General features: G+C 42.4%; 1 protein-coding gene across 60 annotated transcripts in view, besides 1 other annotated feature; it reads left to right on the forward strand.

Annotated features, from left to right (window-relative positions):
• MSH2 (mutS homolog 2) overlaps positions 1-16,861 on the forward strand; it is a 306,764-nt gene that overhangs the window by 10,128 nt on the left and 279,775 nt on the right. For 44 of the 60 annotated variants that reach the window (NR_176242.1, NR_176244.1, NR_176248.1 and 41 more), the window contains 3 exons: positions 1,075-1,224; positions 3,102-3,235; positions 16,548-16,747. Coding sequence is in view for 33 of the 60 variants with exons in the window: in NM_001258281.1 (NP_001245210.1) it covers positions 1,075-1,224; positions 3,102-3,235; positions 16,548-16,747 (484 nt within the window). In the remaining 27 variants the exon portion in view is untranslated. Of the gene's footprint in view, positions 1-1,074; positions 1,225-3,101; positions 3,236-8,521; positions 8,624-8,939; positions 9,092-10,889; positions 11,002-16,547; positions 16,748-16,861 lie in introns of all 60 variants that reach the window. The other 16 variants (NR_176243.1, NR_176233.1, NR_176250.1 and 13 more) reach the window with 7 other exon arrangements.
• Positions 13,064-13,563: an enhancer, noted in NCBI's record as "H3K4me1 hESC enhancer chr2:47653397-47653896 (GRCh37/hg19 assembly coordinates)". NCBI's record gives its function as "activates a minimal SCP1, AML or CMV promoter by ChIP-STARR-seq in naive H9 embryonic stem cells {active_cell/tissue: H9 hESC(naive)}" and the evidence as "EXISTENCE:reporter gene assay evidence [ECO:0000049][PMID:30033119]".

Consider the following 16,861-nt stretch of genomic DNA (forward strand, 5'->3'; position numbering starts at 1 on the left):
ATTTTACCTTTTTTTTTGTTTTTTTGAGATGGAGTCTCAGAATTTCGCTCTGTCGCCCAGGCTGGAGTGCTGTGGCACGGTCTCAGCTCACTGCAACTTCTGCCTCTGGGTTCAGCTGCACGCCACCATGCCTGGCTAATTTTTGTATTTTCAGTAGAGGGGATTTTGCTATGTTGGCCAGGCTGGTCTTGAACTCCTGACCTCAGGTGATCCACCCACCTTGGCCTGCCAGAGTGCTGTGATTACAGGCGTGAACCACCGTGCCCGACCCCCATTCTAATTTTGATGGACATTTGGGTAATTTTCATTTTTGGCTGTTATAAATACTGCTGCAATTACAGTTAATTTTCACAGTTTTTTTTTTTTTTTTTTTTTTTTTTTTTTTTTGAGGTGAGTTTCGCTCTTGTTGCTCAGGCTGGAGTGCAGTGGTGCGATCTCAGCCCACTGCAACCTTCACCTTCTGGATTCAAGCAATTCTCCTTTCTCATCTCCTAAGTAGCTGGGGTTTACAGGCATGTGCCACCATGCCCAGCTAATTTTTGTATTTTAATTTCACAGTTCTGGAGGCTGGGAAGTTCAGAATTAAGGCACTGGCTGATCTGTTGTCTGGTGAGGGCCCACTTGTTCATAGATAACCATTTTCTCACTCTAACCTCACAAGGTTGAAAGGGCCTAATTTTTGTGTTTTTAGTAGAGACGGGGTTTCACTATGTTGGCTAGGCTGGTCTCAAACTCCTAGCCTCGAGTCATCCACCCGCCTCGTCCTCCCGGAGTGCTTGGATTACAGCATGAGCCACTGCGCCCGGCCCCCATTTTAGTTTTGATGGACATTTGGGTAATTTTCTTTTTTGGCTATTCTAAATAATGCTGCAATTACTGTTAATTTTCACCTTGTAAAAACCATTTTCAAATCTCAAGAGATTAACCTTTAGTTTTCTTGGTTTGGATTGGGAAGGAACACCAAGGAAAATGAGGGACTTCAGAATTTATTTTCATTTTGCATTTGTTTTTTAAAATCTTTAGAACTGGATCCAGTGGTATAGAAATCTTCGATTTTTAAATTCTTAATTTTAGGTTGCAGTTTCATCACTGTCTGCGGTAATCAAGTTTTTAGAACTCTTATCAGATGATTCCAACTTTGGACAGTTTGAACTGACTACTTTTGACTTCAGCCAGTATATGAAATTGGATATTGCAGCAGTCAGAGCCCTTAACCTTTTTCAGGTAAAAAAAAAAAAAAAAAAAAAAAAAAAGGGTTAAAAATGTTGAATGGTTAAAAAATGTTTTCATTGACATATACTGAAGAAGCTTATAAAGGAGCTAAAATATTTTGAAATATTATTATACTTGGATTAGATAACTAGCTTTAAATGGCTGTATTTTTCTCTCCCCTCCTCCACTCCACTTTTTAACTTTTTTTTTTTTAAGTCAGAGTCTCACTTGTTCCCTAGGCCAGAGTGCAGTGGCACAATCTCAGCCCACTCTAACCTCCACCTCCCAAGTAGTTGGGATTACAGTTGCCTGCCACCATGCCTGGTTAATTTTTATATTTTTAGTAGGGTTGCGGGGACAGGGTTTCACCATGTTGGCCAGGTTGGTCTCAAACTTCTGACCTTAGGTGATCCTCCCACCTCGGCTTCCCAAAGTGCTGGGATTACAGGCTTGAGCCATCGTGCCCAGCCTACTTTTTACTTTTTTAGAGACTGGGCTTGGTGGAGTGAAGTGGCAAGATCATAGCTCACTGCAGTATTGAACTCCTGGGCTCAAGCGATCTTCCTGCTTCAACCTCATGAGTAGCTGGGTCTACAGGCACAAGCCACCATGCTTGCCTAATTTTAAAATTTTTGCAGAGTTGGAGTTTCACAGTGTTGCCCAGGATGTTCGCTCACTCCTGACTTCAAGTGATTCTTCTGCCTTAGCCTCTAGAGTGGTAGCTGGGATTACAGGCATGAACCACCATGCTCTGCTATTTTTTTTCAAGGTTTTTTTTTTTTTTTTTTTTTTTGAGAGACTGGTATGACTATGTATGCTCCCTAGGCTGGAGTGCAGTGGCTATTCACAGGAAGTGCCATCAGAGTGTACTACAGCTTCAAACTCCTGGGCTCAAGCACTTCTATCATAGTCTCCAAAGTAGCTGGGACTACGAGTGTGTCTCATTGTGCCTTGCTCTCGAATTGCTTTTTTTTTTTTTTTCTGGTTTCAAGCTATCTATGTGGTATTAGTCCTCACTTTATGAATAATTTTGTATACTACTAATAGCAATTTTTTTTTTTTTTTTTTTTTTGAGACGGAGTCTCATTCTTGTCGCCCAGGCTGGAGTGCAGTGGTGTGATCTTAGCTCACTGCAACCTCTGCCTCTCCGGTTTGGGCAATTAGCTGGGATTAGAGGCGCCTGCCACCATGCCCAGCTAATTTTTGTATTTTTAGTAGACATGGGGTTTCATCTTGTTGGCTAGGCTGGACTCTAACTCCAGGTGATCTGCCTGCCTCGGCCTCCCAAATTGATGGGATTACAGGTGTAAACCACTGGGCCTGGCCTAGCAATTTAAAATGACATTCTAAGAAGTTTTATGTCTAAATCTGCAGTAAGTGGCTGGGTGACGTGGCTCATGCCTGTAATCCCAACGCTTTGGGAGTCCAGGGTGGGAGGATGACTTGAGGCCAGGAGTTGAGACCAGCCTGGGCAACATAGTGAGACTCTGTCTCTACAAAAGAAAAAATTAGCGGGGCTTAGTGGCGTGCGCCTGTAGTCTCAGCTACTCGAAAGGCTGAAGTGGGAGGATTCTTTGAGCCCCAAGGGTTCTGGCTTGCCGTGAGCCAGGATGGCACCACTGCACTCCAGTCTGGGCAATAGAGTCAGACCCTGTCTCAACAAATAAAATAAAACTGTAGTAATTATAAAGTGGTTTTGGCTGGGGGAGAAATGTACAGTTGAACATACGGATTAAGAGGTTGAAAGTTGGTCTTAGGAAGAGGAACTTTTTGTGGAAATTTCTTAATATTTGAAGAATATTATGTTATTGTTCCTCTGTTTTTCATGGCGTAGTAAGGTTTTCACTAATGAGCTTGCCATTCTTTCTATTTTATTTTTTGTTTACTAGGGTTCTGTTGAAGATACCACTGGCTCTCAGTCTCTGGCTGCCTTGCTGAATAAGTGTAAAACCCCTCAAGGACAAAGACTTGTTAACCAGTGGATTAAGCAGCCTCTCATGGATAAGAACAGAATAGAGGAGAGGTATGTTATTAGTTTATACTTTCGTTAGTTTTATGTAACCTGCAGTTACCCACATGATTATACCACTTATTGTAATATGCAGTTTTGGAAGTATATGTTACCATTTAACTGTACAGAGTACATAGTAATAGAGTGGTAATTATTTAGATTGATTAAAGAACTCATTTTTTTAAATAAGTTTTTTTTTTTTCACTATAAAAGTTTATTTTATTTGAGATGGTATGGTATCGAACATGTTCATATTGTGTGTAATCGTGGGTAAATTACTCAACCTTTATGTCATAGTTTCTTCACCTTTAAAATGACATTAATAAAAGAGCTACTTAATAGGATTATAAGCATGAGATGATTTAATATACATAAAATACTTACAGTCTGATATATAGGAAGCACTTAACTCTTTATCCTAGAAAAGATTTAAGGTGACCTTAACATATATGTCAGAAAATCTTTAAAATTGTGGAAATAAAAGGTTGTATAATTCTGCTATCCTAAAATTACTAGTATTTCAATATATTTTATTTTAGTCTTTTCTTTTAGATACAAGTTTTAAAACTTTTAAGTGAAGTGTAATATACGTAAGTACTGCTTGATGAATTTAAGGTGATTTCTAAAGCCAGGTTTGTTGGGGAAGAGGAGTGGGATTTAGTGATTTAGAACCAGAAATTGGGGCTGGGTGCGATGTCTCATGCCTATAATTCCAGAACTTCGGGAGGCCATAGTGGGAGAATTGTTTGTGCCCCGGAGTTCAAGACCAGCCTGGGCAACTCAGTGAGACGCCATCTCTACAAAAGAAAAAAAAAAAAAATTAGCTCAGTGTGGTGACATGTACCTGTAGCCCGAGCTACTCGGGAGGCTGAGGTGGGAATATCACCCTGGCCCAGAAGTTTGAGGCTGCAGTGGGCTATGATTGTGCCACTGAACTCCAGCCTGGGCAATGGAGTGAAACCCTGTCTCAAAAAACAAACAAAAAAAGAAACTGAGGCTGGGCACGGTGGCTCACACATATAATCCAGCACTTGGGGAGGTTGAGGCAGGATAATTGCTTGAGCCCAGGAGTTTGAGACCAGTCTGGGCAACAAAATGACACCCCATTTCTACCAAAAAAAAAATTGTTTAAAATTAGCTGGGCATGGTGGCATGTGCCTGTGGTCCCAGCTACATGGGAGGCTAAGGCTGGAGGATTGTTTAGCCCAGGAGGTTGAGGCTGCAGTGAGCCATATTCATGTCCCTGCACTCCAGCCTGGGTGACATAGTGAGACGCTGTCTCAAACAAAAATCAACAGGCCAGATGCAGTGGCTCACCCCTGTAATCCCAACACTTTGGGAGGCCGAGGTGGGTGGATTACTTGAGGTCAAGAGTTCGAGACCAGCCCGGCCAACATGGCGAAACCCCATCTCTACTAAAAATACAAAATTAGATGGGCATGGTGGTGTGTGCCTGTAATACCAGCTACTCTTGAGGCTGAGGCATGAGAATCGCTTGAGTTGGGAGGCAAAGGTTGCAGTGAGCCAAGATTGTGCCACTGCACTCTACCCTGGGTGAGAAACGAGATTTTGTATCAAACAAACAAACAAACAAAAAAAGACGCCCAAAATCAACAACAACAAAAACGATATTGGAATGATTGGATCCCCAAAGATAAATGTTTGAGGTGATGGATATCTCAGTTACCCTGAGTTAAGTATTATACATTGTATACGTGTATTAAAATATTACAAACCCCCAAATGTGTACAATTATGAGGTATCAATAAAAGAGATTGGAAGGACTGGGTAATTTGCAAGTAATTAAGGCAATTTACAATTTTTAATTTTTATTTGTGAATAAGTAGTTATACGTGTCAAAATTCAAAAAGGACAGGTGGATATACAGTGATAAGTCATCCCCCCTTCTCTGTCAGCTCCATAAAGAGCCCCTGTCTTGCATGGCTCCAGGGTCACATTTCCTATTGTATTTTGCCACCACCTGCCCTGGGAGCAACAGTGTTAGTTTCTTGAACATCCTTCCAAGCAGAGTCTGGGCCTACACAAGCAAAACAAGTATGTCTATTCTCTCTCCTCTTTAATTTTTTTAAAGGAAGTGATTGATAATTTAACACTCAAGCTATAGGTCATTGGTTATATTTTTAATTTCCAATTTATGGGAATAGAGGAAGTGTCAGTGATCCCCTTCTGGTTTAAGAACTGGAGGATGCATGTGTTTAGACCCTTTAGAAACCTGAAATGTCACCTAATATAATTATCAGAGTAACACTTTTTAGTAAGCAAGCTATCTATCAAAAGTAGGTTTTTGAAGAAGAGGGTAAGGAAAGGTTACTTTCATGGGACATAGCAATAATTTCTAAAATCTAATGGTTTTACAAGACTTGTTCATTAGAAGTAACATCTGTGAGGATGGCTTTATGAGTCAAAATATTATCTGCTTAATACCCCACCTGTAGGGTAAGAAGAAATGTTTTTTTCTTGGTGACAATTTTTAGCAGCAAGCGGGGAGGGCCTGTGGCTTCCAAGGCCAAACGTTGAAATACCACAGACTAGGAAGAAAAAGATCCACTCCTTATACAGGATTTGTTTGTTTCTTCTTTTTTCTTCATTTTTGTAGAGATGAGGTCTCACTATGTTGCCCAGGCTGGTCTCTCTTTTTTTTTTGAGCCCGAGTTTCACTCTTGACGCCCAGGCTGGAGTGCAGTGGTGTGATTTTGGCTCACCGCAACCTCTGCCTCCCGGGTTCAAGCGATTCTCCTGCCTCAGCCTTCCTGAGTAGCTGGGATTACAGGCATGCGCCACCACGTCCGGCTAATTTTGTATTTTTAGTAGAGATGGGTTTCTCCATGTGGGTCAGGCTGCTCTCGAACTCCCGGCCTCGGATGATCCACTTGCCTCGGCCTCCCACAGTGCTGGGATTACAGGCGTGAGCCACTGAGCCCAGCCATGCTGGTCTCAAGCAATCCACACCCACCTCAGCTTCCAAAAGTGCTGGCATTACAGGTGTGAGCCCCCGTGCCCAGCCTGTTTCTTATAATTATTCCTCTTTCTCAACTCTGTCTGCTGTGGTACCTCATGCTTCCTAGTTTAAGCCTTCTTGGGAGTTCTCAGGAGAAATCTGTTATCTCCCTTACTAAGCATTTGGGATTGATGTTCCTTCCAGGTTACTATAAAACCAAGTTTTTTTTGGTTCTTTTTTTTTTTTCTTTTAAAAGAAATGAGATTTTGTCATGGTTAGCCTGGTTTCAAACTCCCAAGCTCAAGTAATCCACCTTCCTTTGCCTCCCAAAGTGCTAGGATTACAGGCATGAACCACTACACCCGATCTGTACTGTTCCTCTTTCCATTCACTAAAACCTACTTGCAACTATGAGCATATGTTATTGCCATCTAGAAATGAGTTTCTAGGGACTTGTTCCTTTTTGTACTTTATTTAAACAGTCGAATTAGAAATTATTATTATCATTATTTATTTTTTGAGATGGAGTCTTGCTCTGTTGCCCAGGTTGGAGTGCAGTGGCGTGATCTCGGCTCACTGCAACCTCCACCTCCTGGGTTTAAGCGATTCTCCTGTCTCAGCCTCCCGAGTAGCTGGGACTACAGGCATGTACCACCACACCTGGCTAATTTTTATATTCTTAATAGAAACAGGGTTTCACTATTTTGGCCAGGCTGGTCTCGAACTCCTGACCTCAGATGATCCACTCACCTTGGCCTCCCAAAGTACTGGAATTATAGGCGTAAGCCACCGTGCCCGGCCAAAATTATTTATAATAAGCAAGGCATGGTGGCTTGTGCCTGAAGTCCCAGCTACTTGGGAAGCTGAGGCAGGAGGATCACAGGTTCAGGTCCACCCTGGGAAAATAGTGAGAACCTTCCCTATCCCCAGTCTTCAAAAAAGAAAAAAATTTGCTGGAGAAGGTCACACAATGCTGATAGGTCCCATTGTGCTTTCATGCTTTCTAGTTTTCAATGATAACTGGTTGTTACTTTTATTGTCTGACTCATTATAGTGACCAACTCCCGATTTTTTACTTTGCCTTAAGCCTTCAGCTATCTCCTACCTCTAAGCGGATGATTTCTTCCTTAACACTTAAAACCTCAAAATTTATCTGTACTTCCACTCTTTTACTCTCTGGCTCTTTCTCAGAAGAAGAAATAACACTTTTATTTCTTTTCAAAGCCAACCTTTCCATACTTTACTTGGAGACATATTTCTTTTTTTTTGTTTTGTTTTTGTGAGTGGAGTCTCACTCTGTCGCCTGGTCTGGAGTGCAATGGCGCAATCTCCACTCAGTGCAACCTCTGCCTCCCAGGTTCAAGCGATTCTCCTGCCTCAGCCTGCTGAGTACCTGGGCTTACAGGTTAGCACACCACACCCGGCCAAGTTTTGGGTTTTTAGTAGAGACAGGGTTTTGCCGTGTTGGCCAGGCTGGTCTCTAACTCCTGACCTCCCGATCCGCCCGCCTCAGGTGCAAGCCACCGCGCCCAGCCCTAGTGTAGCAATCTTAATCAGAAATATGTCTCTGGCTGGGCGAGGTGGCTCATGCCTATAATCCCAGCACTTTGGGAGGCCAAGGCAGGCAGATCACCTGAGGTCAGGAGTTCAAGACCAGCCTGACCAACATGGAGAAACCCTGTCTCTATTAAAAATACAAAATTAGCTGGGTGTGGTGGCATATGCCTGTAATCCCAGCTACTCAGGAGGCTGAGGCAGGAGAATCGCTTGAACCTGGGAGGCGGAGGTTGCGGTGAGCCAAGATCTCACCATTGCACTCCAGCCTAGGCAACGAGCAAAACTCCATCTCAAAAAAAAAAAAAAAAAAAAAAAGATTGCTATGTTAATCTTATTTATTTATTTATTTATTTTGAGACAGAGTCTCACACTATTGCCAGGGCTGGAGTGCAATGGCATAATCTTAGCTCACTGCAACCTCCGCCTCCCGGGTTCAGGTGATTCTCCTGCCTCAGCCTCCTGAGTAGCTGGGATTACAGGCGCCCGCCACCACGCCTGGCTTATTTTTTGTGTTTTTTAGTAGAGACGGGGTTTCACTACGTTGGCCAGGCTGGTCTTGAACTCCTGACCTTGTGATTTGCCCACCTCAGCCTCCCAAAGTGCTGGGATTACAGGCGTGAGCCACCGTGCCTGGCTTATGTTAATCTTATTTTATATAAAAAGAAATAATATTAAACTAGAAGGCAATAAAAATGCCAAATTCAATACACAAATTATTTTGTCAGCATTTCCACAAGAATAAACTATTTTATATGCTAACATATGTTCAATGTTCCTTACAGAATTCTGACATTAAAAATGAAAAATTACCAAAGCTTCAGATGAATCTATAAATGGACAAAAGAAAAAGCTTAAAAGGATAAAGAGCAACACTCCAAGTGCATGTATAAACATAAGGACTCTTGGGACTTAACCTTTTTAAAAATCTTTAGGCCTAGCACAGTATTTGCTATTTAATGTATCAAATGGGTGGTTTTGACTTCATTAATCCATATATAGGACAGATGAAAAAAAGAATTATAGACTTGTAATTACAGTTCTTTAGGAACCATATTTGCTCTCAGCCTTTTAAATACGCTGTCAGGCAATTCCAGTCAGCACTTTTGAAAAAAACCTACCTACCTACCTACCTACCTATCTATCTATCTATCTATCTAGAGACTGAGTTATAAGACTAGCTAGTTTTTGTATTTTTTGCAGAGACAGGATTTCATCATGTTTTCTAGGCTGTTCTTGAACTCCCAGGCTCAAGCCATCCACCCGCCTCAGCCTCCCAAAGCGCTGGGATTACAGGCGTGAGTCACCATGCCCAACCAATTCCAGTCAGCTCTTAAAATGAAAGCCTAGAAATGGTAGGGTTAAAGAGGGGACAGAATGTTGATTTTAAAATACCTAGAATTTGGCCAGGTGCAGTGGCTGTAACCCAGCACTTTGGGAGGCCAAGGTGGCCGGATTGCCTTGGCCTGCCTCAGCCTCCCAAAGTGCTGGGATTACAGGTGTGAGCTCAGGAGTTCGAGACCAGCCTGGGCAACACGGTGAAACCCCTTCTCTAGTAAAATACAAAAAATTAGCTGCATGTGGCGGCGTGCACCTGTGGTCCCAGTTACTTGGGAGGCTGAGGCAGGAGAATTGCTTGAACCTGGGAGGCAGAGGTTGCAGTGAGCTGAGATTGCGCCACTGCACTCCAGCCTGGGCAACAGAGTGAGACTCTGTCTCCAAAAAAAAAAAACCCCAAGAATTTGATTAATTCTGTTGGAATTTTAAGAGTTAACTGATCCCCAAAATGACTCAGCTGTATGCAATTTAATGCAATATTAATTCGCATGTTGACTCTCAGAATTGCATACAGCTGAGTCATTTTATTGAGTAGGATTGATAAGTATACTATGTTATGCCAACAGTAACTGTGATGCTTCTAAAATTGTGATTTTTAAATTGGCATTGTCACAGAAACAGCAGAGTAGTTGTTTTTTTCTTTAAGCTTCTTTTAGCCAGAAACATAAACTGAAACTGTAATTATTACTGCAATCGTATGTTGAATAGACTTGTGAAACTAGCAATTTATTAGGCTTTTAATGATATCTGGACCAAAGGCTGAGGGAGCTGTGCTGTGTGTATGTTGCTTTGTGCTTTGTTTTTTAGAAGCTTGTCGTTTCTTTGCCATTTTACTTCTTTCTTTTTTTTTGAGACGGAGTCTTGCTCTGTCCCCCAGGCTGGAGTGCAGTGGCGCAGTTTCCGCTCACTGCAAGCTCCGCCTCCTGGGTTCACTCCATTCTCCTGCTTCAGCCTCCCAAGTAGCTGGGACTACAGGCGCCCACCACCACGCCCGGCTAATTTTCTGTATTTTTTAGTAGAGATGGGGTTTCACCATGTTACCCAGGATGGTCTTGATCTTCTGACCTTGTGATCCGCCCGCCTCGGCCTCCCAAAGTGCTGGGATTACAGGCTTGAGCCACCACGCCTGGCCCATTACCCATTACTTGTTTCTTAATGTTACATTCTCTTTCCCTCTTTTTTTTTTTTTGTTTTTTGAGATGGAGTTTCGCTCTTGTTGCCCAGGCTGGAGTGCAACGGTGCCATTTTGGCCCACTGCAACCTCTGCCTCCCAGGTTCAAATGATTCTCCAGCCTCAGCCTCCCAAGTAGCTAGGATTACAGGCACCTGCCACCACGCCCAGCTAATTTTTGTATTTTTAGTAGAGATGGGGCTTTGCCATGTTGGCCAGGCTGGTCTTGAACTGCTGACCTCAGGTGATCTGTCTGCCTCAGCCTCCCAAAGTGCTGGGATTACAGGTGTGAGCCACTGCACCCAGTCCTTAATGCTACTTTATAGGTGAAAATTGTGAAATAACTTAAATTTCATTTTAATTAAAGTTAATTTTTGGGAAATTAACGAAAGGTTGACATTTTATTCTTTTGAATATTGCAGTTGTTATTTGGGTTTAAATTGGGGGGCTTAGGAAGGAAAGAAGCCTGATGGTTGTTTCTGAATTTTCTGAAAATTATGTTTGATATGCTGTATATGAAATCCAGCTTGGAGAGAATATGTCCATTGTTAAGGAAAAATTAATGAAGATTTGATCTAGATAAGGCATTCCAATCATTTGGAAGTGGTTTGAGTATCTTTTTTTCTTTTTTTAATTTGAGACAGAGTCTTGCTCTGTGGAGTGTAGTGGTGCAATCTTGGCTCACTGCATCCTCCACCTCCCGGGTTCAATCAAGCAATTCTCCTGCTTCAGCCTCCCGAGTAGCTGGGATTACAGGTATGGGCTACCATCCCCAGCTAATTTTTTTTTTTGGATGGAATCTTGCTCCCGTCGGGCAGGCTGGAGTGCAGTGGTGTGATCTCAGCTCACTGCAACCTCCACCTCCCAGTTTCAAGCGATTAAGTGATTCTCCTTCCTCAGCCTCCCGAGTAGCTGGGATTACAGGCGTGTGCCACCACGTCGCCACCACGTCTGGCTAATTTTTGTATTTTTAGTAGAGACAGGGTTTCGCCATGTTGGCCAGGCTGGTCATGAACTCCTGACCTCAGGTGATCCACCTGCTTGGCCTCCCAAAGTGCTAGGATTACAGGTGTGAGCCACTGTGCCTGGCTTAAGTTTTGTATTTTTAGTAGAGACGGTGTTCCATCATGTTGGTCAGGCTGGTGTCAAACTCCTGACCATGCGATCCGCCTGCCTCGGCCTCCCAAAGTGCTGAGATTACAGGCGAGAGCCACCGTGCCCGGCCTGTTTGAGTATCTTTTAAAACCAGTAAGGACAAACTAGAGGTGTCAGCTCTCTTCATGGGCTTTGGAGAAACAAGACAAAAAGGAAAGAGATGTTTCGCCGGGCGCGGTGGCTCACTCCTGTAATCCCAGCACTTTGGGAGGCTGAGGACAGCGGATCACCCGAGGTCAGGAGTCAAGACCAGAGCCATTGCACTCCAGCCTGGGCAACAAGAGCACAACTTTATCTCAAAAAAAAAAAAACCAAAAAAGAAACAGGAAAGAGATGTTTTGATTTTTTAAGTCTAGAGTGTTCTGTTCTTACTCTACAGCACTTAGCAGTAGTCCATCTATCCTCCTTGTTTGTTCTTTACAACAAAACCCCATTGGTTCTCTCTTACCAAGTTTGCTTTATTCTTGGTTTATCCTTTGTAAGATGTGAAAGGGATATGAAGAGCAAATAGGAAGTGTTACTCTTGCTGCTTGAGAGAAAGCTGTTTTACAATTTGTTGGCAAACAATTTGTAAAAGTACAACAAAAGTGTGCATTTTTGGCTTCTTATTTATGTTTTATCATTGCTATATCTCATAATTTGTGATTTTTAAAATAACTTTTTATTTGAAAAGCACTACAGGGTCACGTCATGTTTTTAAAAAATAAATTAAGAAGGTAAACACCCGTACTTCTACTTTACCTCTAGTCCTAGTCTATGGTGGTAATCAGTGTTAACAGTTTAGTTTGTGTTCTTACCCTTCCAGGGGTTTTTTTTCTCTATGTATACAGATATATGCATTTTTAAAAACATAGTTAACACTTAAAAACAATATGGGATCGTATTAGGAATACAATCTGTATTCCTTCCCAACAGTATATACAGTTTTTTTCCATTTCACTATGTATCTATTTATAAATTTTTTATTTCTAATAATTTCTCTTGAATAGGTGAGACATCATATAGTATAAAATTCAGTAGAAAATCAGTTTTTCAGAGGTACAAAATTGGCTGACTTTGCACAGACTCCTTTCATTTCACAGGTAGGGATGCACAGCCACCTCTTCCACCGACGAGAGGAAAGGATATGTGTGCCTGTGGGCTCTTCAACTCTGTTGATTAGTTATGATTTATTTTCTGGTCAGTTTGAGAGGAAACAGTGATAAAATACTGGGAACAGGGAAGAAGCATAAGATTATTATTGTTTTTTTTTTTTTTTTTGAGACAGAGTCTTGCTCAGTTGCCCAGGCTGGAGTGCAGTGGTGCGATCTTTGCTCACTGCAAGCTCCGCCTCCCGGGTCCATGCCATTCTCCTGCCTCAGCCTCCCGAGTAGCTGGGACTACAGGCGCCCGCCACCACGCCCTGCTAATTTTTTTTTTGTATTTTTAGTAGAGACAGGGTTTCACCATGTTAGCCAGGATGGTCTCGATTTCCTGACCTCGTGATCCACCCGCCTCGGCCTCCCAAAGTGCTGGGATTATAGGCGTGAACCACCGCGCCCAGCTTTAATTTTTTTTTTTTTTTTTTTTTTGAGACAGAGTCTTGCTCTGTCGCCCAGGCTGAAGTGCAGTGGCGCGATCTCGGCTTGCTGCAAGCTCCGCCTCCCAGGTTCACGCCATTCTCCTGCCTCAGCCTCCTGAGTAGCTGGGATTACAGGCACCCGTCACCATGCCCAGCTAATTACGGGACCTCGCTCTGTCGCCCGGGCTGGAGTGCAGTGGCACAGTCTCGCTCACTGCAATCTGGCAAGTGATTCTCTTGCCTCAGCCTCCAGAGTAGCTGGGACTACAGGTGTGCGCCGCTACGCCCAGCTAATTTTTGTATTTTTAGTAGAGATAGGGTTTCGCCATGTTGGTTGGCCAGGATGGTCTCGATCTCTTGACCTCGTGATCCGCCCTTCTCGGCCTCCCAAAGTGCTGGGATTACCGGTGTGAGCCATCGCACCTGGCCTTCCTACTTTATTAAGATACCTAAGGGATTTCTGTGATTGTTAGGATTCAAATTTCTGTGAGCATAAGAATCAAGCTGTGTGCATAATAATTGCATGGGATTTCACAGCTGGGCCCCATTCCCAGGGATTTTGTATTATCTACCTCCAAGTGATTTTGATGCTGGTGATCCTTGGACCAGACTTGGTGAAGCTCAATGCTTAGCTAGGAAAGCCCCAAAAATTTGCTTTATTGGATTGTGTAATTTGACTACATCCATTGTTTCTTTTTTCAAATGTAGAGTTATATGCCACAAAAATATTTTCCGTAGCAGTAGGCATCCTAATTAATCTCGATGTTTGTTTATAGCCCCATTGATGGGGCTATAAACTTGGCAGCAAATTGTTTTCCCACTAATTTGGCATTTTCCATAAATGTTTGTTTATAGCCCCATTGATGGGGCTATAAACTTGGCAGCAAATTGTTTTCCCACTAATTTGGCATTTTCCATAAAAAACACGTATCTGTTGTTAGCTGCCTAGACGTTAGCTGGACATGGTTTAGGTTACTTTTCTCTTAAAAAGTAAATTTTAATTCAAGTTCCTTTAAGCCAGCAGTCTCAACCTGGGGCAGTTTTTCCCTCCAGGGGACATTCAGCAGTGTCTAGAGACATTTTTGGTTGTCATGCTGAGGAAGAGAGTGTATAGTGGGTAGAATCCAGGGATGCTGTTAAGCATGGAACAGCCCCTTACAACAAAAAATTATGTAGCCTAAAATGGCAGTGTTGCCAAGATTGAGAAATTATGCTTTAAATGTGTTTTTATATATGGCCATTTTGTGTTTACTCTGGAGATAACATGCTTTTCCTCATATAACATGCTTGATAAACATTTTGGTAACACAGGAATTGTAAATGCTGGTGATGTCAGTAAATAGTTAAGAAATTTAGGGCTGTGCGCGGTGGCTCACGCCTGTAATCCCAGCACTTTGGGAGGCCGAGGCGGGTGGATCCCGAGGTCAGGAGATCGAGACCATCCTGGCTAACATGGTGAAACCCCGTCTCTACTAAAAATACAAAAAAATGAGCCGGGTGTGGTGGCAGGCACCTGTAGTCCCAGCTACTCAATTTAGAAAGCAGATTTGTTTCCTTTCTATACCTGTGTAATTTGAGGTTTAGTTTACTGTCACATCGTTTATAAACATAAGGAAGATCGTTGCTCATCTGATAGCATTCCGAACCTTGAGTCATCTGTAATGCCTATGGCCTCCAGAAAAGCTTCTCTAATACTGTACTTAGAGATGTGTAAAATATGTAGGAACATTTTCCCACCTTCGATTGTTAGTTTACCTTTCAGCTTCAGTAATTTACCTTTCAGCTATTACTTTAGTAACATCTTCAACATTGTTTTTCAAACTGCAAGGTGTGACCCAGTAGTGGGTCGTTAAATTAGTAGGTGACAGAGCATTTTTGAAGAATTAAATACAATAGAACATAGCAGAGTGGGCTCACGCCTGTAATCCCAGCACTTTGGGAGGCGAGGCTGGCAGGTCACAAGGTCGGCAGGTCACAAGGTCAGAAGATCGAGACCTTCCTGGCTCTAACATGGTGAAACCCCGTCTCTACTAATAGTACAAAAAATTAGCGGGGTGTGGTGGCATGCGTCTCTAGTCCCAGCTACTCAGGAGGCTGAGGCACGAGAATCACTTGAATCCGGGAGCTGGAGGTTGCAGTGAGCCGAGATTGCACCACTGCACTCCAGCCTCAGCAACAGAGCAAGACTATTTCAAAAAAAAAAAAAAAAAAAAAGAAAGAAAGAAAAAAAGAAAATAGAGTGTATCACATAATTAGAGTAGCAAGTATTGATTTGTGAAACCTATTTTAATCATAGATCTATGTATGTATGTGCTGGATTGTGATGTAAAGACATTTCTTGCTGTGGTTACACTGAAAAAAATGAAAAGTCACTGATTTCCAATAACTTACAGAAGCAGTATGAACTACATATTCTGTCGTTCTTGAAACAAGCTGAGATTTTATTGACTTTGGGAAGCAGTAGAATTATTTTAGTTTTTTAATTAACAGTTTTTGGCTTTGTACTGTCAAGAGGTAATTTTAGAAAGCATTCTAAAAATGTAAGTACTGGATTTGGCAACATTCTTGAACTGTAATTCTGTTTCGTTAAACATCACTATTTACATGTGCAACAGCGTGTCTGTAACAATGTCCCAGTAATGAAATTCTTTCTTCTATTTAAGGCATGTCTGTTTGATAAAAGTCAAACAAAATTGGGTATATGTCAGTGTCTTATGATACTGCTTAATTAAACATTAATTTGACTCTTAGCTAATCAGGAAATGTTTGCCTCACAGTCTTACAGAGCTTTCCACCTTCTAAAAAAGCTAACGTTTCAGAATAGATTCAGGATTCAACCTTCTTTCTGTCTTTTTTTTTTTTTGTTTGAGACAGAGTCTTGCTCTGTTGCCCAGGCTGGAGTACAGTGGCGCTATCTCGGCTCACTGCAACCTCCGCCTCCTGGGTTCAAGCAATTCTCCTGCCTCAGCCTCCCGAGTAGCCGGGGTTACAGGCGTGCGCCACCATGCCCAGCTAATTTTTTTGTATTTTTAGTAGAGACAGGGTTTCACCATGCTGGGTGGCCAGGCGGGTCTCAAACTTCTGACCTTGAGATCTGCCCACCGTGGCTTCCCAAAATGCTGGGATTATAGGCGTGAGCCACCGCACCTAGCCTAGATTCAGGCTGCTTCTTTTTTTTTTTTTTTTTGAGACAGAGTCTTGCTCTTGTTGCCCAGGCTGGAGTGCCATGGCATGATCTCAGTGCACCACAATCTCTGCTTCCCAGGTTTAAGCGATTCTCCTGCCTCAGCCTCCCAAGTAGATGGGATCACAGGCATGAGCCACCATGCCTGGCTAATTTTGTATTTTTTGTACAGACGGGGTTTCTCCATGTTGGTCAGGCCAGTCTCGAACTCCCTACCTCAGGTGATCTGCCTGCCTCGGCCTCTCAAAGTGCTGGGATTACAGGTGTGAGCCACTGCGCCCAGCAGATTCAAGCTTTTTAAATGGAATTTTGAGCTGATTTAGTTGAGACTTACGTGCTTAGTTGATAAATTTTAATTTTATACTAAAATATTTTACATTAATTCAAGTTAATTTATTTCAGATTGAATTTAGTGGAAGCTTTTGTAGAAGATGCAGAATTGAGGCAGACTTTACAAGAAGATTTACTTCGTCGATTCCCAGATCTTAACCGACTTGCCAAGAAGTTTCAAAGACAAGCAGCAAACTTACAAGATTGTTACCGACTCTATCAGGGTATAAATCAACTACCTAATGTTATACAGGCTCTGGAAAAACATGAAGGTAACAAGTGATTTTGTTTTTTTGTTTTCCTTCAACTCATACAATATATACTTGGCAATGTGCTGTCCTCATAAAGTTGGTGGTGGTGACTCACTCTTAGGACACATTCAGATT

The sequence above is a fragment of the Homo sapiens genome, chromosome 2 (genome assembly GCF_000001405.40).
Source record: "Homo sapiens chromosome 2, GRCh38.p14 Primary Assembly".
Classification (NCBI taxonomy): Eukaryota; Metazoa; Chordata; class Mammalia; order Primates; family Hominidae; genus Homo; species Homo sapiens.